At 35.7% G+C, this 22921-nt stretch overlaps 1 protein-coding gene across 40 annotated transcripts in view, besides 2 other annotated features; it reads left to right on the top strand.

Moving 5' to 3' along the window:
* DYM (dymeclin) overlaps positions 1–22921 on the top strand; it is a 424259-nt gene that overhangs the window by 263238 nt on the left and 138100 nt on the right. The window lies entirely within an intron of this gene.
* Positions 9750–10249: an enhancer, noted in NCBI's record as "H3K4me1 hESC enhancer chr18:46713529-46714028 (GRCh37/hg19 assembly coordinates)". NCBI's record gives its function as "activates a minimal SCP1, AML or CMV promoter by ChIP-STARR-seq in primed H9 embryonic stem cells {active_cell/tissue: H9 hESC(primed)}" and the evidence as "EXISTENCE:reporter gene assay evidence [ECO:0000049][PMID:30033119]".
* Positions 10250–10751: an enhancer, noted in NCBI's record as "H3K4me1 hESC enhancer chr18:46713027-46713528 (GRCh37/hg19 assembly coordinates)". NCBI's record gives its function as "activates a minimal SCP1, AML or CMV promoter by ChIP-STARR-seq in primed H9 embryonic stem cells {active_cell/tissue: H9 hESC(primed)}" and the evidence as "EXISTENCE:reporter gene assay evidence [ECO:0000049][PMID:30033119]".

Genomic DNA, 22921 nt, shown 5'->3' with positions numbered 1-22921 from the left:
CTCTTTTGGCTTCTGTGACAGCATACTCCTGGCTTTCTTCCCCCCCTTTTGCCATTTTTTTTATGCTTTTTGGTTTTAAACATTAGAACTTTTAAAAAGCTTGTTCCTAAAGCCCTTTTCTGTACTTAAACTCTTACCTTAGCCATTTTCATCAATTTCTATGACTTTACATGACATCCACATGCCAATATGTTCCAAATTGATAGTCCAGCTGAAACTCTGAGCCCTTGTCCTGTCCTGAGAGCTGCCTTACTGTTAACATCAACACTCATACCTCACATGTCCCATCTCCCAAGAGAACTCTTAAGCTTTCTCCATAAACCTTTTCATCTCCATGAATGGTGCCTGTATCCGTCAAGTTGCTTCTGCCCACCATCTAAGAGTCATCAGCATTTTCCCCTCACCTGCTGTATTCATCCTCACTACATCCATTTCAGTTCTCTATCCAAAATATAAATCAAATCTCTACTTTTTTTTCTCTGTTACCACTGCCAGTCACCCTAGCTCAGACAGTCCTTATCACACACCTGGACTCCTACCTAGTCCTTTTCCTCAAGTTCTGTCACCCCACCCTCACCCCTAATTCCCGATCCAGCAAGCATCTTCATAGATTCTAAGTTACATGTATCTTCCTTGCTCAACCCTTTAGTGACTTTTCTTTGCCCTTAGGATGCTACATTCTCTAGCCATATCAATTGTGCTTTCTCTTCCAGGAGTTGCTCACCCCTTTTCTATCTCAGGACTTTTTGCATGTTCTTTCCTGTCTTTTTCCTTCTCCATATTTTCTTACATTTTTCACTTCCTCAGACAAGTTTTCCTTTATCCAAAACATTGTTATGTTAATATTATGGTTCCTCTCACACACCACCCCTCGCACTCTCTCACTTTTGCTGTCACTCTCACTCTAAGAGTAGATCATTAGTTCCATAAGGGCAGAAAATGTGTGTGTGTGTGTGTGTGTGTGTGTGTAACCACTGATCCCTAGCACTTAATATGATACTTGGGTATTCAATAGGTGCTTCATATTTGCTGAGAATGGGTAATTTTGTTTTGCTGAAATGAACTTAACTTTTTGCAGACTTGCTCAGTCTACTAATGACCACTTTTCAATAGACTTAGAGAAGCAGTAAAGTGTGATCCTGTTATAAAGCTACTGTGTCTTAAAAGTAGCATTCAAGGCCGGGTGCAGTGCAGTGGCTCACACCTGTAATCCCAGCACTTTGGAAGGCCAAGGCGGGTGGATCACCTGAGGTTAGGAGTTCCAGACCAGCCTGGCCAACATGGCGAAACCCCATCTCTACTAAAAATACAAAACATTAGCCGGGTGTGGTGGTGGGTGCCTGTGATCCCAGCTACTCGGGAGGCTGAGGCAGGAGAATTCGCTTGAACCCGGGAGGTGAAGGTTGCAGTGAGCCGAGATCGCACCACTGCACTCCAAGTTGGGCAACAGAGCGAGGCTCCGTCTCAAAAAAAAAAAAAAAAAAAAAAAAAGATGGTAGCATTCAAGAGAGCATAATTAGATAATGAAGTATTTGGTTGTAGTTCTCTGGTTTTAGTTTCTACCCACGTACAGTAAAACTACCTGACTAAACGAAGGCTCCCTAAGTCTTCTTGAATTTGTGGAATTGCATTGCTTTTCCTCCCAGTGAAAGAATTTACAAATTTTCCACTTGTTGAAATTATCTGATAACCATGACCATCAAGGCAGTATCAACATGCTTTGAAACATCCCTCCTAAAAACACAAAACTTTTTCTTGTGGTTGTATCTATAGTGTTGAGTGGGTAGGGTGCTTTGGCTTCAATTCTGGGTAGAAGCAGTAGTGTAGATTCTGTTATGATTTCCTCAGCTAGGAGGGGAGGATAGGGAGAGGCTGGTTAATGAATACAAAATTATAGCTAGCTAGAAAGAGTGAGTTCTGTTGTTCTGTGGTACTGAAGGGTAAATATGGTTAACTATAATTTATTGTATATTCTCAAAAAACTAGAAGAGAGAATTTTGAATGTTCACAACACAAGGAAATGATGAATATTTGAGGTGATGGCTATCCTAATTACTTTGATTTGATCATTACCTGTTGTATACACACATAGAGGTATCACTCTGAATCGCATAAATATGTACAGTTATAATGCATCAACTAAAAAGGAGAAAACTTAATTTTAAAGTAACACGATACTTTGAGTAGACAGTGAACTGAACTAACAATTACATCTTGTTAGGTAAGAATAAAGTGTTGGGAAAATATATACATATATGACCATTAATTAAATAAAAGCATGAAAAAAATCATAAAGTAACATTTACTCTGCTAGCTTCAGCTAAGCAGAAGAGCACAGAAGGGAAAGCAAAATTATTTTACATTAAATTTTGCCACTTGACATTTAAACACAAAATTGGAAAAATTTGAAAATAGAGTAGTCCTAGCAAGCTTTACCATCACCACTCACTCCCCCAAAAAGTTTTCCTTTGGCATAAGTAAATTATGGAGGCTAATGACTGCAATAGTAGTAACAGAGTGAAGTTTCAGGAATATAGGTAAAACATAAGAAAATACATATTTGTGTATATTAAAAATACCATTTAACTTTTTAATTCAAAATGACTTAGCAGAAAATCAAATAAATTTGTACTATAACTGGAAATATTTTTAAAATATTTTTTTGTGTTACTTATGAGAGTATTGTTAAGATTTATTGAAGACTAACAGTAACATTAAAACCCCACCCAGAATAAATTTTAGATTACTAGCCTGCCACAGTGATCTACACTAAAATGTCACCAAATTGTAGTATCATTCAAAAATGGAAGAAATTAAGTCAGTGACTAAAAATATAACAAAAATACTTATTAACTAACTGGATTTTTAATCTGTAAGAAGGATGTCATGAGAATTTTGGCATATGGAAACAATGTAAGAATAGGACCTTAGGAAAGAACGATATGAAATTCATATTTGATCCAAAAAATGGTAGTAGATCCTTTTTTCCCACCAGATGCTCCTAGGTGTAGATTGCGTTGGTGAAGGAGGCACTCTAGTCTCAGTTGATGTCGAGTGTGTAGGTGTGGGTGTGTAGGTGTGACCAGAATTCCTGAATATGGACATGCTAAATAACAAATTAAAATTTCTCGTGCAGTTTAAACTATGTGTATGGAGGATTTGGATTGGATACAAAATTCCTCAAGTTGGATGCTCTTCCTCTGGGCTGCCATTTGCAGGGAATTTCATGTACATATTCAGACATGCAGACTTGCACAACTGCTTATTATAGAAATATTCTTTGTTACTAAGTGTCTAACAGACTTAAACATACAGGGTTTCCGTATATGGAGAAAAGTGATTCCACCCACTCCATGCCCTGGCACGTCATGATGCCAGCCCTTAGATTTATTTGGCTTCCAGAATTTAAATAGACAGTGATGTAAATCAGAAGTTAGTGTTTCACCTACTGGCACTAAGTAACTAAATCATCACATTGGTGATGAGGAAGGTAAATCCTTTTCAGTTTGGCTACAGAATGGAAATAACATTTATTACAATATGATCTAAGTTATATTGACAACAGAATGATTTATTTCTATGTTATAAAAGATGAAGAAGGAGAGGAGAATACAGAGAAGTTAAATGGTTTGGCAGTGATCACACAACAAGCCGAAAGTAGAATCCAAGTCTCTCTGGAGTCCCTTCTCTGATCAAAGTTTCATCTTATTGAATGTCACAGCATTATAAAGTGAGATAAATGTATCTCACCACACATGTGCTTAGTGAATTATTCTCAGTAGATAGCTTCTTCTATTTTTAAACATTTTGTTCTGAGATTTTAAAATTTCAATTCTATTCTCTTATGTTTTAAAACCGTGTTCACAGATTTGAGCTAAAATGGGAATCGAAGAGTGACTTTGGCATTTTTCCATGACTATTCTTGTATTGATCTTAAACTGGCATCACACGTGTTCCAGGAGGGCACTTGTTTTGCACAACAGTTTTACAAACTAGCTGTCTATAAGAGGCAGTTCATTAAAATTTAATGTTTTTAAATGATCTTTAGATGTATAGAATTTTTTAAAGACTACATATTAGAGAAAGCATGCATACAAAATATTTTTTTTTTTGCCCAGTAGTGGTGATAATAGCTAACATTTATTGAACTCTTACTCTGTAATAGCCACTGTTCCAGTGATTAACTCTTTATTTTAATTTTTTTTAATTTTATTTTTATTATATATTGACAAATTACAGTTACATATTTATGGGGTGCAAAGTGGTGTTAAGATTTTTTAATACAATGTGGAAAGATTAAGTTAAGCTAGTTAGCATATCCATCACCTCGATATTTAACATTTTTTGTGACGAGAACATTAGAGATTTACTGTTAGTGATATTGAAATGTATATAACAATTATATTCACCATGCTGTGCAATTGATCTAAAAAAGGATCAAACTTATTCTTCCTGCCTAACTGGGGCTTTGTACCCTTTGACTGTAATCTCCTTTTCCCCGCTACCCCCTTGGCCGCTGGTAACCACCATTCTACTGTCTACTTCTATGAGTTTAGTCGTTTTTCAATGCAATCTCCATAAAAATTCCAATGCCATTTCTCATACATATAGAAAAATAATCCTAAAATTTATATAAAACCACAGAGAAACCCAAGTAGCCAAGGCAATTGTAAGCAAAAAAGAACAAAGCTGGAGCATTACACTACTAGATTTCAAACTACTGTATTCTATAAAATGATAGTAATTAGAACACATTGTACAGTATAAAAAAAGACACATTGACCAGTGGAACAGGGTAGAGAGCCCAGAAGAGAACCCATGCAACTGTGGTCAATTGATCTTCAACAAATGTATCAAGAATATACAGTAGGAAAGGACAGTGTCTTCAATAAATGGTGTTTGGAAAATTGGATATCCATATGCAAAAGAGGGAAATCGAACCCTTACCTCACACCACCTACAAAATCAAATCAAATTGGATTAACATCTTCAGCATAAGACCTGAAACTGTTAAACTACTGGAAGAAAACATAGGAGAAAAGCTAAATGACATTGTGTCTGGACAATGATATTTATAGTTATTAAATATTTTTATTTAAATCCTCAAAACAACTCTATGAGATATTATTATTCCCATTTTATGGATAAGGAAACTGATGTACAGAGTGATTAAATGACTTGCTAGAGGCTAGGTGCAGTGGCCCATGCCTGTAATCCCAGCACTCTGGGTGGAAGGATCGCTTGAGGCCAGGAGTTCAAGACCAGCTTAGGCAAGACTCTGTCTCAAAAAAAAAAAAAAAAAAAAAAAAAAATTAGCCAGGCATGGTGGCACATATGTATAGTCCCAGGAGGCTGAGGCAGGAGGATCGCTTGAGCCCAGGTGTTTGAGGCTGCAGTGAGCTATGATTGCACTATTACACTCCAGCCTGGGTGACATAGTGAGACCCCGTCTCCAAAATGAGTGAATGAATGACTTGTTTAGAAAGCTATTAAAGCAGTATTGCAATCCAAACATTCTGGCCCCCAAAGCCACACTTTTGACCTTATTCTTTGCCTCTTAATAATCCTTTTAATAATAGTATGATTTCATTAGCTTTGCCCTTGAAATCATTTTGACTCATCGTAGAGCCATTACAAATTTAATATTATTTGATGTCTATACATTCTAAATTATATTTGTGTCTAAATTATTGAACTTCTGTTCTTTACCTACTCACAATTTCACTAGGAGATAATTTATAAAACTGGCTAAAATTTAAAATTGATGTGTAAACTGTAGAAACAGAAGAAACTCAAAACCATTTTTCTTGGTCATTTAAATTCTTTATTTTCCATTTAGTCTGGTCTCTGTTCTCTAAATATATAATAATGTCCTTGTTTTCCAAAGCTACTAATCCTTATAAAAATTTCATGGTGTTGTATCCAAAATATCTAAGTTCGGTTTTGATTTTTTATACAGGTTTGATTTTTTTTTCTTCTCAAAGTAATAGTGGATATAGGGTATTTTCAACTAGATTTCACAAAGTAAGCATTTATAGGCAGATTTTCAAGGTAACCCAAAAGGTTAAGTTTTAGGTTTTACTTAGTACTGGAAGAGGAAAAATTAAGAGTAATTACCAACTGAGTATAATTTACAATGGTGATTAATAGTCTCATAGCTTCCTTGTCATTCTTCTGTTTAGTTACTAACAATTGTATTTATTATTCTGCTAACTTTAAGTAAACAAGCAGAAGCTTTTCTGGGGATTCTGAAGTATAGTTACTATCAAAATATAGTCGACCCTTGAACGATGTGGGGCAAGATGCCAACCCCCAAACCCCCCTGCACTCCCCCCAGCACAATCACAATAGAACTTTGACAAATAACTTTGCATATGACTTTGAACTTCCCCAAAACTTAACTACTAATAGCCTACTGTTGACCAGAAGCCTTACCTAAAAAATATACAGTTGATTAACATATATTTTGTATGTTTTATGTTTTATATACTGTATTTCTACTATAAAGTAAGCTGGGAAAAGAAAATGCTATTAAGAAAATCACTATTTATTACGTAGAAATGGATCATCATAAAGGTCTTCCCTGTCTTCACACTGAATAGGCCGAGGAGGGAGGACGAGTAGGGGGAGGTGGTCTGCTGTCTCAGGGGTGGCAGACGTGGAAGAAAATGCATGTATAAGTGGATCTGCACAGTTCAACCCTGTGTTGTTCAAGGCACTGTATGTACACTTTTATACAGGTAACATTTATACAGAGACTTAAAAATGTTCACTTTTAAGTTCGTTCTTGTATCTCATGTTGATACCATTATTTTCATATGTGCATTTATTTTCAGGTAGCACATACTATATGCCAATAGGAAGTTCAAGACCCTATTAATTATAACAGTAGAAGTCTTAAGAATTCAATGTATTGTCTCTGCATCCTAGCATGCAATGGTTGTGGCATTGAGAGTCTGGGCAGAGAGAGCAATGTATGTCTGGTTAGGGTGGTTTCATTAAGTTTCATGTGATATCCTTCAGTCCTAAACCTCCAAAATCACTTTTAAAGATAGCAATGTAACCATATACAATGATATTTCAGTCTTTTCTGTAAAATGTTAAAAGTAAAAGAAAAACCAATGTAGTATCAGTGAATAAAAAGCTGCAGGAAAATTTATTTCTGTGTGTTCAGTTAGAAAAGTGTGTTTGGGAAATACTTTTCACAGTTTAGCTGATTGTACAATAGCCTCTGAATTTTTCTTACTATCCCTAAATGGTCAAGTCAGAGAGCATCATTATGGTTTAAATACTGGTCAGTAAAACACAATGGACAGTTATCTGTTCTGTGATTATCTTGCTGTTTTCTTGTCTTGCATAACACTATAGTACTGTAGCAGGCAGCTATTGAAACAGTGTTGTGATTGTCTAGTTTAACGGAAGGAAAAGAGCTTTTGTTTTCATTAGTTTTTTAATATTCCTTTTGAAGAATCACTGTCATTTAATTTTGGTGCCTGGCACTAAGCAGCAAATGCAAGAGGTATGCAGACTGCCAAATTTTATGTAACAGTTGATGTGACTATTGCAAGAGTTTGTGGTATTTCCTGTTATCATGGTTGTTTAGAGAAATTTTATTTCACCCTCACCATCTAGTTTTCTAGTCTCTCCTTTTCCCTGTGGCTTTATTACTGATATTAATAACCTGTGCATTGACTCTATATACAGTAATAATTTGTGGTTCTACAGAAAGATGATCCATTTGAGCTGGAATCATGGTATAAACTAAGAGGCACTGGTTACAAAGTGTAAATGTAACTCACTTATGCCTGTGACTTTTGGGTTATTTGGATTTATTTTTCTGTTACTTTTTTGCCCACATGCTTGTTATTTGGTCATTTCTGGGCTTGGGTCATTGTTTGGCAGATAGTAAATGTAGATTACTTGTTTTTTTAACTACTCTGGAGATAAAATATGATAACAGCATATTATCTAATGCTTCCCAGTGCTCCATATGCCATTTAGAAGTTTGGCCAGAACTATGAAAGCAAAGTTCTTTTGCCCTGGAAAAGAAGAAGCAGTTGAACTCATATTCTTTTCCCCACCTCAACCCCTTTTAAAAAAATTTTCGATTCAGGGAATACATTCAGGTTTGTTACAAGGATATATTGCATGATGCTGAGGTTTGGACTTCTGTTGATCCCGTCACCCATATAGTGAACATAGTAGTACCTGATAGGAAGTTTTTCAGCCCTTGTCCCCTTCCTCTGTCCCCACTTTTGGAGTCCTCAGTTTCTGTTATTCCCATCTTTATGTCCATGTGTACCCAGTGTTTGGCTCCCACTTATAAATGAGAATATGTGATATCTAGTTTTTTTTCTGTGTTAATTCACCTAGGAATCACTGCAAAATACATGATTTTGTTCTTGTTTATGGCTGCTTAGTATTTCATGGTGTATGTGTACCACATTTTCTTCATCCACTCCACCATTGATGAGCGTCTAGGTTGATTCCATGCCTTTGCTATTATAAATAGTGCTGTGATAAACATGCAAGTGCAGTTGTCTTTGTACCCATATTCTTTTTTTTATTATTATACTTTAAGTTTTAGGGTACATGTGCACAATGTGCAGGTTAGTTACATACGTATACATGTGCCACATTGGTGTGCTGCACCCAGTAACTCGTCATTTAACATTAGGTATATCTCCAAATGCTATCCCTCCCCCTTCCCCCCACGCCACAACAGGCCCCAGTGTGTGATGTTCCCCTTCCTGTGTCCATGTGTTCTCATTGTTCAATTCCCACCTATGAGTGAGGACACGCGATGTTTGGTTTTTTGTCCTTGCGATAGTTTGCTGAGAATGATGGTTTCCAGCTTCATCCATGTCCCTACAAAGGACATGAACTCATCATTTTTCATGGCTGCATAGTATTCCATGTGTACCCATATTCTTAAGAGGAACTTTTCATTTATGAACAGCCAGATCTTAGAGGCCCATTTTCCTTTTCCATTGTCTGTGTGTCACAGACTGCCCCTGACAAGGTATATTAAGAATATGCTCCTTCTGTGCTACATTGTCTAGCTGTGATGGGCCTCATAAAACAAAATGGACAGAACCAGGACCCCCTGGATGAAGTACTTCTACTTCCCACCTCATATGAATCTTTTCTTTAAATGAAACCAAGTCAGTTTGTGTTAATTTGAAATGCCTTCTCCACAGTCAAACTGGTGGTGGTTTTGTTCTGCCATAGTGATAATGCTACCCCCCAAACAGCCAAATGAACGCTTAAAATGATTGCTTTATAGTTAACTCAGCTCTGGGATATTTGTATTCTTGGATTTCAGTTTGTTGGCACACAACTTAAATCACTGCTTTTTACGTATTGGGGAATGTATATCCTTATTTGAGTAGTGCTTTTTAACTTCAAGAATGAAAAAGAATCAATAAGTTGTTTTTTTCAGAGGATGAGGTGGCCTTATTGATTTATAACGTGTGGAAGTTTGATATCTCTCTCCATAATCAAAACCACAGAACTCACTTTCTCAATACCTATTGTGTTTTTTAGCATAAAGAAGCCATATGTATTATCATGTTATTTTTCCTAACATGGTTCTGTAGGTGATAGTCTCTGATTTTGTACATTTAGAAAAGTGAATTTTTCCCTCTTACATAACCAAATGACATTTCTTCTGGTGGTCTATATTTATATAAATACAATAGTTATTTTCTGGCCTATTAATATTTGTTACTCAAATATTTGGGGAGAGTTTCATTCTCATTCTGTTATTTTTAGATATATTATCATCCCATTAAAAATATCTTTCTGATGTCCTATTTCAGCTTTGAATTTTAATTCCTTGTATTTGTCTTAAACTGTGATGTTCAAAAATCAGTGTTACCTAGAATTAATTGTCTTGTTTAATGTACAATTCTGCTGAAAAATATGTTAATGGGATTTCTAATGCCTTAGCTCATTATACTAGCTCACTAAATGTATAGTGTTTGGCCCAAAAGTGACAGCTTTCCATGTGTGCTATTTTGTTTATTTATTACTGTCCTTACTGTCAATGTGAACAAATGAGCACAGAGTTGATACTCAGAATTGGGCAAGTTGTAGGTGTTAGGAGCAGGACAAGACCAGATCTTCACTTCACCCATTTTCCCCATGAGATTGCAAGAGTAACTTTTCTTAGACTGTGTACCAGCAGCGGCCGGGCGCAGTGGCTCACACCTGTAATGCCAGCACTTTGGGAGGCCGAGGCGGGCGATCATGAGGTCAGGAGATTGAGACTATCCTGGCTAACACAGTGAAACCCCGCCTCTACTAAACATACAAAAAATTAGCTGGGTGTGGTGGCAGGCGCCTATAGTCCCAGCTACTCGGACGGCTGAGGCAGGAGAATGGCGTGAACCCAGGAAGCGGAGCTTGCAGTGAGCCGAGATCGCACCACTGCACTCCAGCCTGGGTGACAGAGACTCCATCTCAAAAAAAAAAAAAAAAAAAAAGAAGATTGTGTACCGGCAGTGAATATATGATCTCCCTTTTGACAATCGGATATTCACAACTGAGCGTTTGTCCCTATGTCCTCTGAAAGTGATGGTTGGATTTATAATTTTTTAGCAAGATCCCTCTGGATTATGCGTGCATTTTTGGTTACTAGATACAGATATACCTGAAAGCCCTACTTTTACATTGTAAAGTTTGTTAGAATTCACATTCTCTTCGGTGTGAGTGAAGATGGTGAACCTCATAGTAGTGTAAAAATAATAAAAAATGTTTCAAATCTGAGCCTCAAAGAGGTTGGCCTGATGGATTCAGTCCATAAATAGGACAGGTGGGTGGATGGATGATCTTAGGTAGGCTTACTGACTAAAGTGACTTTTAAAGAAGTTTTTGGAGGACAGACCTTTGGTGGATTAATAGGTTTGTTCCAAGCGTAGGGGGTGGCATAAAAGAAGATATAGGCAATAGTGGGCGAGAGAGACAAAGGATTCATTTAGGAGAAGACAACAGGGAATGGGACAGGATGTGGGAGGAGATGAGATCAGACATAAGAATTGGAAAAGAGTTGTGGACCATTTAAAGACAAGAAAAAAAGTTGTGCTTTAAATGTTGAGAGCCAACACTGATTAGAAGTGTGTTTGAACATATACTCCCTCTAAAAGAGAGAATGCTAGCAGTTCAGTAAGTTTCATTGTTTAATAAAAAAAGACAGTGGGCAGAGCAAAAAATAAAGTGATTATTAAGTGAGTGATTATATAATTTATGATCCAAACCTGGTCACTTTAAGAGAGTGAAAGGGATACTATTTAGTGAGACAAAATGTGTAAACTGGGACTGGACAAATCAAGATGTGGTTATCCCATTATTATTAAATAATGACTTGGAATTCATTAATAGATCACAAAGACAGGAAAAATTAAAATCCTGAGTTTTGAAAGTGACACATCGTAATAATCCTTTAAAAACTAAACAGGAAGGTGTCAGATTTTGGTCAGGACAAGCAGAAACAGTTGCTGAGGTTGATAGACAAATGTTGGTGTTTTCATAGCATTGTGCATATGGTGCTTAGGCTATGAGTCAGGCTGCCTAGGCTTGAGTTCTAGTTCTGCCACTGACCAGCTGGTAATCTTCAGCAAGCAAGTTGGGAATAACAGGGAAACCTGCCCCTCTGGGTTGAGGCCAGGATTAAACGAGGCCATGTGTACACGCAAAATACTTTGCACAGTACATGTCACATGCTAAGCACTCACATGTGGCTATTATTTTTTTCTACTATTACTACAATAACAACTACTTTTTATACATTAGCAGTTAGCATATTTTCAATTTAAAGATAAATACTTTAAGCTTTCTGATGTTGTTGTGAGCTTTCTGCCTTTTATTTCTAGCAATATTTCAGTAATTGATGAAATAAATTCGAAAAACTGTTTTTCATTCCAGCTTTAATATTATGAAGCTCACATTACAACTTCTACCTGTCTAGACTGTTCTTACTTTTCATAAGTAGACAAGTTTCCACAGTCATATAATAGAATTATTGAATACAGTAATTCTCATTTTACATTCAAGTAAGTCTTAAAGATGTAATTTTTAGCAGCATTGTGTTTTTCAAATCCAATTCCTGCTCTGTAGCAGATAGGTTCTGTTGTTGCTATAAATGATAGCTGAATAGTAATCATTTAATTTTCTCTTTTAAGAAAGATGAAACTTTTCTTGGGGATGGGGGATGGTTCTTGGCAAACAAAAATGATGTGATTTAGGTCTTTTATAGAAATTCATGAGATTACTTGTAATTCAACTTGAACATGTCCTTCTTGTATTTATTGTTCCTTTTTATTGAAATACTCTTTCTCAAGATTGTGCACAACTCACACACACACAGCATCTTCAGGTCTTTGCTTAAATGACACCTCCTCAGTGAAGCCTTCCCTGACCACCCCTTCCAAAAACTAAAGCCTCCTTCTAGCACTCCTCATTCCTTCTGTAGCTTTATTTTATAATGTCATAAATGATGGTTATTTTAGAAGCCCTGTAATAGTTCTTCTTACCTCTGAGATATATGCGGTGGTCCCCCATTATCCTCGTTTTGTTTTCTGGGGTTTCAGTTACCCACAATCAAATGTAGTCTAAAAATATTAAATGGAAAGTTTCAGAAATAGAAAATTCGTAAGTTTTTAATTGTGCACTGTGCTGCATAGTGTAATTAAATTTTGCCGTGTCCCACCTGGAATGCGAATCATCCCTTTGTGTAGTGTATCCCTGTTGTATATGCGACCTGCCCATTAGTCACTTAACAGCCATTACTTAGCAGCCATCTCAGTTATCAGATCAAAAAACCATAGTATATATTGGGTTTGCTACTATCCATGGTTTTGGGAATCCACTGGGGGTCTTAGAATGTATCCCCCGTGGATAAGGGGGGAATACTGTATTGCTGCAGTATCTCTGAACTCTGACTCTGTGATGGAATAAGGGTTTGCACTTCTCTACTACCTCAGTAACCCAGTCCTTAGGGAATTGAGCTTTCTTTTATAATTAGTTTGCTTGTAAGAGAACTTATGGAATGTCTAATCTTAGTTGGGAGTGAGTTGTGGCCTTGGCTAAGGATGAAGTGACAATACTCTTTCAAGCATAGCCCTCTGGAGAAAAGGCCACTTCCCTTCCCCCGCCAAAAAAAAAAAAATTTTGTTTTTTGTTTTTTTGTTTTTCCCAACAGAAGAGTTTTTACTACTGGAGACCCAAGAGCCCTAACTTGCTTTTTAGTGGGAAGAGAGGAACTGCCTCATCTTAAACACATCCCTATGTATATTAGTCAGCTCAGGCTCATAACAAAATACCATAGACTGAGTGGCTTAAACAACAGAAGTTTATTTTCTCACTGTTGTAGAAACTGGAAGTCCAAGATCAAAGTGCCAGTAGGGTGGGGTCTAGTGGGGTCTGGTGAGGGCCCTCCCCTTGGGCTGCAGATGGCTGCCTTCTCACTGCGTGTTCACAAGGCCTCTTCTTAGTACGTGCACAGAGAGAGAGATCTGTGGTGTCTCTTTGTATGGAGACACTAATCCTTTTGGGTCAGAGCCTCACCCTTATGACCTCATTAACCTTAATTATTTCCTTATTCCAAATACAGCGATACTAGAGGTTAGGGCTTCAACATAGGAAATTTGGGGGAGACACATACATTCAGTCCCTAACACTGTGCATCCCAAATTATTTCTGAGTTCAGTTCAATTAAATAAACATTTTTTGAGACCCTGTTAAATGTACAGGCACTACGCTAGGCATCAAAGAGGCAGAAGTGAACTATCCCAGGCTCAAGAACTTAATATTTAGTGAAATAAAATGTATATAATTAACTTGAAAATGTGGTAAATATTTTTCTAAGCTACATTTTGAAGGGTGAATCGAAAATTGCCAGGCAGGTTTGTATAGGGGAGGGAAGTGAGTGTAGGCCAAGCAGTTAACGGAGGAACAGAATGGAGTGTGCAGGAATGATGAGCGGACTGATGTGGAGTGAAGTAAAGAGTGATGGGCACAAATTTAGAAGTGCAGGACTGCCTTGTGGTGTTTGTCCTTCCTGATGGTGCCACAACGTTTTCTGGAAAAGTAGCAAGTACCTAATATGTTGATTTTCACAATGAAGGATAAGTTTTAAAAGACTATCAATGACTGGCATTTACAATCTACAATAAGAGACTAGTTGTGCAAATAAAATACAGTGATACAAATCACTTAATTAGTGGGATTAGGTGAATAAAATTTCCCCTCAAATACGTAGTGTTGTATTTAAAAAATCACAGTGAAATTTAAAATACTGTGGTTATCAGAGATGGAAAAAAAATGTGCAATCACCACTTCAAGTAAGGAAAAACATTACATTAAAAATCTTTGGTTTTCTCCAGTGTTCCTTAAGTTTCTACGTAAAATATCTAAAACTGTGGGGTTTTCTTCACACAGATGTTCAAAAATCACTATTCACTTCCAACCAAGATAGAGTAACAGAGACTGGATTTACCCTTCTGCCTGAAACAACAACCAAAACAGACACAGTATATAGAACAGGGACTTTGGAGACACTGGGCATCAGGCAACAAAAGAAACAAATCCCTGAGAGATGTTAGCAATTGAGGGGAGCCCTGTGAGTATTGAGAGTTCCCAGACCACTGTTCAGAATTATAGCTAATAAGCCAACAAATAGAATCATAAAAATACTCAACCCAAAAGAAGGCAGAAAAATGGAAAAAGGGGAAAAAAAGAATCAATAGGACAAATGGAAAACTATAGCAAAAGGATAGATATAAATGCAACCATATCACTAACACCAGCAAAAGAAAGCAGGAGGGACTTATCAGGCAAAGTGACTTCAGAGAGGAAACATCACCAGAATAAAGAAAATTATTTCATAACAATGAAGGAATCAGTGTATCAAGAGGACTATTATAATCCTAAATGTGTACTTTATAACATACACATTTGAAGCAAAAACTAATAAAATTGCAAGGAGAAACAAATTACAGTTATAGTTGGAGCTTTCAATATATCTTTGTTATTAACTAATAGAAAAAGTAGACAGAAAATGAGTAAGAGTGTGGAAGACTTAATGCTATCAAACAACTTCACCTCGTTGACATTTATAGAACACTCCAACCAATAACAGCTCCAGCCAAAACATTTGCATAGGAACATTTGCCAACAAAGACCATATTCTATGCCATCAAACAAGTCTCAGTAAGATTCAGGTTATAAGATTCAAGTCATGGAAAGTTTGTTTTCTGACAACAATGGAATTATAATAGATATCAATAATGGATAACTTTCTGGAAAATCCCCATATATTTGGAAATTAAATAACATACTTCTAAATAATCCATGAATCAAAGAAGAAACCAAAAGCGATTTTTAAACTAAGTGAAAATGAAAATGGAACATATCAAATGTTGTGGGATGGCTGCCACTAAAGCAGTATTTTAAGGGGAAGGTATAGCCTGAAATGCCTATATTGGAAAGAAAGAAAGATCTCAAATCAGTGACTTCAGCTTTCACCTTAAGAAACTAGAAAAAGAACAACAAATTAAGCCCAAAATAAAATAAAAATAATAAAAAGCAGGAATCACTGATATAGAAAACAAATGCAGTAGATAAAATTAAAACCAAAAGCTCATTCCTTGAGAAGATCAACAAAAATGATAAACCTTTGGCCAAGATTGTATGTGGAGTAATTTTGGGCTGTATCTTGAACATATGATGGTTACACAGATTAGGTATCCCTAATCTAAAAATCCAAAATGCTCCAAAATTCAGAACGTTTTGAGCACCGACATAATACTCAAAGGAAACATTCACTGGAGCATTTTGGATTTCAAATTTTTGGATTTGGTATGTTCACCTGGTAAGTATCATGCCAATATTCCAAAATTTGCAGGAATTCAAAATTAAAAACACTTCTGGTTCCAAGCATTTCAGATGAAGGAAATTCAACCTGTATTGTGGGGACTCTGGACAATTCTATTATAAACCAGCTGGTTTGTGTCTCGTAAAACAGAATAACATGTTCTCTTTACTGGGGGATCAAGGATTAAATTAAAATGCATTTATGTAAAAATTAAAGATTTTTTCATTGGCATATAAATATAGTTCTGAGTGATCTCAAAATCATGCTGTTCCACGGAAACATTCATTTTGCTTTGGGTTTCTCTCATAAATCATCTTAACTTTTATCCTTGACTTTTTCTTACCAGAGCACATCTCTTTTGTTTAAAATACCCATCTAACTCCAACACGACCTTGACTCTAGATGGTTTGCTGCATTTCATGACGTGGTATTTCCAGTGATTCTCCAAATCAGAAACTGCATACTAACGGCCTGCAGCCTGGACTCAGGCTAGAGAGGTGCTGTGTTTGGTTTGCACAGTTTTTTTTGTTTGTTTGGTTTTGGTTTTTTGAAGTTAGAATTTGTTGCTAACATATAACAAGTTGGAATAGCTGGCAATGCAGAGCCCACAGTCCTCCATGCCAGAAATCAATTGGAACTGAATGGTGACTTTTTCCATAGGTTCTCTCTTAAGGGTTTTTACATTAATTCCCTCAATTTAACCATCACAGCAACTCTTAACTGCCACCATCATTATCACCAAGTATAAGGAAACTGAGTCTCAGAAAAATTAAGTGTCAGAAATCCCATGAGCTATTAAATGGAGGAGTGGGTGTTTAAATACAAATGTGTCTGAATTAGCCTATATTCCTTTCTGCATAACATCAAAAATGAGGTTATTTTATCTTTCAGTTGAAAAATCATTGGTATCCATAAATATTATATGATGCTAGCTGTAGTGCCCCAGGTATCAAGTTTATCATGTTAAATTGTGCAAGGTTAAAATTTACAATCATTTATCAATTTTCTTTAAGTTCCTTAATGTGGAGTTTACCATAGGCTACTTTCTCATTTCTAGAATATTGACATTTGTTGCCTGTACTGTCCATATAGGTTACTGATAAATAATTGAGAAAGGTGTTCACTTTAACATTGTTTTCCTATTTAAATTCTTTATTTAATATGATTCCCATTTATGAAAATAACAACTAATCACTACCAGAGAACGAGGATGGGCACTGACATCTATAGTTTTCTGGTTTCAAAAGGAACACAGAAATTAAACTTCATTTTGAATAAAAGCTGTCCATGATTTAGATAATAATTTATATCTCTTATCAAGAAAAAAGTCTTCCTTACAAAGATAGACTTGTATATTCTAGCTTAATAAATATTTACTTTTTGACTGAACAGATTAGATTCTTTAATCTGGGACTGTTTGTTTCTATCTAACTAGCATTGTTATCAGACTAGAGTTAGGTTTTTCCATACAACAGATCACTTGACAAATAATTAAATACATCTATTATACAAAAGTAAACTGGAATTAAATACTAACATTTATAGTCTAGGTCATGTAATTTCCTCTACCAAAAGTAAGGAAAATATTAACCCTCTCCACTTTAGTATAAACTTTAAAGAAGTTCAACAGATTCATGCTTTGAATAAAGTATCTTTTGCTTTCTTTTTTTGCCTTAAGTGGAAATGATGGTGCTGGTAGTAAGAGATTATTTTACTGTTGCTATCTCTGCTGATTAAGAATGAACAAAATATCAAAGCATTTACATACAGAGGAAGCAGTAGATACTTCGTGTTAAACAGACCTTGGGCAATTTACTTTCCCTCAGCTCCCTTCTCTGTAAAATAGGGATAGTAATATCTACCTTATGTTGACAATGATTTCTCTAAAGACCCAATCCTGTATTTGTTGTGTAATAGATACTCTATAGATGGTAACTATAAGCCTATTCATCGTTGTTGTCATCATCATCATCATCATCACAACAAAATAACTTTATGGTTTTGACAGACCTGAAGATATATTGTGTGGTAACTATATATTCCAAGTCAAAAGTTGTGACATGGTTTGTAAGCAAATGGTAGAATCACATTAGGTGACATTTTAAGTACTCAGTATATCAAGAAACTTTACAGTAGGTGTCTTAAATTGGACACTGTTCAAACAAATTAGAAATGGAGACACTCTTTAAGCCTAATAGATCTTTACTGAATATTGGTCAAATCTCCTTATCAGTTGTAATTACAGTACAGTGAAAAGTCTGTGTAACCCAAAGCTACTGAGCTTCAGATTTTAAATAACTCATAGCAAAATAAAGTTCAGTAATAGTCTCATACATGAAGGCAGTGAGATCATTATGGAATGGAAAGAGCACTGGATTGGGAGTCAAAAGACCAGAGTTGTTCTGGCTCTCAGAAAGCTTTGTGACTGTGGTCTAGTTGTCACCTCTCTTGTTTTTCATCAACACTCAAAGAAGGGAGCTGGATTACATTGTGAAGATCCCAAATATAATGTATCAATGCCCTTCAGTGTGCTGTAATGGGAATTAACTGTAGCTTTTGAGCCAGCAGAGGGAGCACGAAGCATGAATTTATGTCTGGGTTTTAGGAAAATGGGGGCGTGGTGGGGGGGTTACATGGTTAAACATTAATTACAGTTCTTAAAATAGATTATTTCCTATCAGGTTATACCCAACTTGATTTGATCTATAATATTATCTGGAGATGGTGGCATTCTTAAAACTACTGATAGAATTCTACCTCTGTAATTATCGGTAGTTATAATAAAGGACTATATTCCAAAAGTACATTTAATCCATGGTTATTTCTGAGGATTACTATCGTTTATTTTCTCTATTGTTAGTGTATTTTTATTAGAAAGAATTATAATTTTATCATTTTGGAAATATTCTGTTGATATTGAAATAACTGGGCTATTTGAAACCATAAGAATCTTTAAGTGATACATCATTTATCTAGCATTCTTGGGAATTGTGCAGTTCCACATATTTTCCAAATAACAAAAGTATGTTTCACTAAAGCGCCACCTTAAAAATGTTAGAAAGTATTTGGGATAGAGATCTTGCTATTGCAGACTTTTAGGAGTTTGAAGTAAAGACCTTACACACATTTGAATCTTTTTCTCATTGCTGCAGGGTTGTTGATTTGAGCATGTACTGATGTACTAAACCATAGTGGAATTCTGAGTTTGCTCCTTCTTTGATGTTGAGGCCCATTTTTCTCTTTTTGGTCACACTACTCTTAGATTTTTCCCATTTCCACATATTCCCATTCTGGTTTTCCTTTCTTCTTTGTTGCTTTTATTATTTAGAAGCTTTCACTGAGGAAGCCAGTAACTGAGCTTTCTGAGAACTGTGTTAAATTAAGATTCTAATTTAAGGCCTAAGGAGTTAAATCCATGGCTTTCCTATAGGCATTGATAACAACTTCATTCATGGAAATTGTTCTCTCTTTGTGGTTTCGGTTTATGTATTAAGAGGTTGGAAAGGGAGCTACTTCTTTATTCAGGATGAGTCACAGTAGAGATGGGTTTCTTATGAAGTTACTGTAAATATATGATTGGTTTTGTGGTTTTTCTAAAAAGTAGTTTTAGAACTTTAACTCAAAGAATATCTTATCCACCAGTCAGTAGATAGTTTATTTAAAAGGAAAATGAGGGATCATTAACCCACTGAAACCATTGGTATATACAGGAGGCATTGTGGAAGTGTTAAAAGAAGAAAAGAGGAATGGACATCTGTGCCCTTGAACTTGTATTCACATAAGAAATGAGACAAACCTACAAACAAAAGATAAAGGAAGACATGGGAAAAATGTGTAGGACAAGTATAAATTAATAATTAGGTACACAAAGATCAAAAGGAAGTTGAAATAAATGGATAAAGTTTTTACAGACATAAGATTTTTTTATAGTGATGAAGCTAATAGGTGTTGAAAAAAGGCATTTACCAGTAAAGACCTATAATTCCAGTTAAGGCTTCCTGTTCCTATGGCCATCCCAAAGACTAATTATATTCACTAAATTAAGATTAAGGGCTAAGCAAAAAAGAAATTTCAAAGTTCCAGTTGAGATTCTCAAATTAAGGGTCCAACACCTGGGAAATATTTTGGCTATCAATTGTGTTATAACGTAGTTATAGGTACTCTGCAGCATTTCCCCAAAGTTAGCAGTATCATGTTTCCTGTGACTATCTTTGTAAAATCTGACATATAGTAAACATGCTTTATTTGGTAGGTTTCCCCTGAGAGGAAATTTCTTTACACTTAGGAAGTGCCTTATGACCTGTGATAATAATAACTTCTACCCTGCCATCCTGGCTCCTCTTGCACTCACTGTGAGGTCATTCCACTTTCCAAATGAATTTTCTCTTTCAATGTTATTTCGATCCCAATTATTCCCATAAATTAGTGACACTGTGCCATAGGATTTTTAAAAAACTGGACAGATTTGCTATTTCCTTGGTGTGCAATTTTCTCAAGAGACTAAGAAAGGGTCACCGAAAAAGACAACCAAACTTCTTTCAAGTCAGAAAATCTCTTTCTTTACAGAACATAATTTTCTAATAGAGAAAATACCATAAAACTTCTAATAAGATCGATATCTTTAGAATTGCATACTAATTATAAAAAATTAGACTTTCATCGTAGTTTAGTTTATAAAGGATATATACATTTTTAAAATCCATTGTCCATGAAATATGTATAAAAGGAGTAAAGTGCTTTTTAGATAAATTACCAATTTTTAATTTTGTAATTTTTGCTAAATAACATTTCTGACCAAATCTAGTCAAAATTGGAAAGAAGCCAAGCACAGTGGCTCACACCTATAATCCCAGCACTTTGGGAGGCTGAAGTGGGAGGATCATTTGAGGCCAGAAGTTCAAGACCAGTGCGGGCAACAAGGCAAGACCTCATCTCTGCAAAAAAAAAAAAAAAAAAAAAGCCAGGCTTGGTGACACGTGCCTGTTGTCCCAGCTATTCAGGAGGCTGAAGCTGGAGAATCACTTGGGTCCAGAAGCTTGAGGCTGTCATGAGCTATGATTGCACCACTGTACTCTAGCCTGGTCAACAGAATGAGACCCTGTTTCTTAAAAAAAAAATTGAAAAAAAATGTGCTTATGTTAAAAACACAAATGAAATTTGCATGAATGTTTTTGTGGAAAATGAAAATAATTGTCTTTAAGCTAATGTTAGATTCTCTTATTTCAGTCTCTTATAAATTTGGTAGTATAGTTACCAGAGTGTATATTGACAGATTGTGTATTTTACCTATTATTTTCAACATATTTTATCAGTAATAATTTTTGTAACATCATTTTTTAAGTTGTTAGCCATCTTTCAGTTTTCTTTCTATGTCTTCCACATTTTGACTTTAGTTACCTTAGCTAGGGGAAATTCAATTCCTGAGTTTCAGCATTTTTTTAAAGAAACATTGTTTAGTCCAATACTTTGCCATGTTGTATGACTAGTTATTATTGGGTTTACATATAATTTTTGATTATGCAGTCATACCATGAAGGTCATACTGAATGTTGTACTATAATTTTGAGTTCTTGCTAAGATACATTATGTGTTTTTAGGATTCTAGGATTGGCTTCTCCAGTTACAATGCAGGGTGTGCCCTTTTGGTGGGAACCTCTTTCACTAAATATCACACATATATTTCTTTGTCTTTTGCTTTTACTATATATAGAGTTTTTGAAGAAGATGAGTTATTGTGTTTTCTTTATAGTGTTGAAATATGGAGCAGTAGGTTCTACTAGAACATGTGTGGTGCTTAGTGTACTGATGGACACATCTGTTGTCCATGCATTATGCTGTGTACTGCTAGTCACAAGACATTTGCATTTTAACAAGCATTACTTGACAGTCAGCAAGCTGGTGGTGCTGAGTTTTGTTATTTTGTTCTCCACCTTTTATTCCATAAAATCAACATCATTTTAGCTCTTGTCCTGGATGGAAATGAATTTTAAGCTAGTTATTATAAACCTAAAATAATGTTTATGGTTAGTAAGGCAATTAAATGTGAATGAACGGGCAGTTTACCCTGCCCTAACCTTGCTTCTTTGTATAAATGTCAGTGTTCTTAGTAAAGATTGTTACGTAATTAGTCTTTCCTTCATTTTAACTTTTGGTCCTTAAAGATAAGATTTTTAAACTAAAATCAACTAAGACTGCTTGTTTCTGATTTTGTAAGGCAAGAATACCGACGTCATTGCAGTTTCTTTTATTGGAGTAAGAACGATAGAAAAGAAGATAAATCATCAATTAGTAGTAAGCATATTTTAGACCATGTTGTGCGCAGAACACTGTCCAAGGATCTACAATCAAGGCCTTAAATGAACTTGGCATTTGGAAAAATACATGTTTACAGTACAAATATGCATTACACTTGTGTGTAGCAGTTTAAGAGCAACTATGAAGCCGCATATTGAAGCAAACAAATAATTAAGATGACATAATTTGATAGAGAAAAAAAGCTTGGGAAGTTACTATTTCTATTATAATCTGCAAGTAAAAAGAGACAAGTTTCATAACATGAATTTGTTCTGTCTTCGTCGGCTTTGATGTTTTTTTCTGTTATGGTGTATTAATCCTCACATGTTTTCCGTATTTGTTAGAACCATCGTTATCTGTCCCTTTCTTCTTCAGCCTTTTCCCTCAGTTCTCGCTCTCTCTCTGTCTCAGCTTAAGTTCACTTCATTCTCTCTTCTTGCACATGGGTTTTCTCTGTGAAGCTAAGCGTGACCATAGCCAACTCCGGGATTACGTCTTTACAATCTTCTAACCAGAGAGAAAAAGCAGCTTTCTCACCCTTTCTAGTTAGTAAAATCCTAGGGAATATTTCCAGCTGGCTCAACTAGAGCTTATATTCATTGACCAATCTTTGTGACTCAGGGAATGAGCCTGTGTCATAATCTCACTTTTTTCAGGAAAGTAGTTTCTGTTTCTGAAAGTAGGGGGTGAGAGTGAATCATATTGGACAAGAAAAATAGCCATCATAATTAATAAATCTCCATATAAGAGATA

Source organism: Homo sapiens, chromosome 18 (genome assembly GCF_000001405.40).
Source record: "Homo sapiens chromosome 18, GRCh38.p14 Primary Assembly".
Classification (NCBI taxonomy): Eukaryota; Metazoa; Chordata; class Mammalia; order Primates; family Hominidae; genus Homo; species Homo sapiens.
This window is presented reverse-complemented; position numbering and strand designations above follow the sequence as displayed.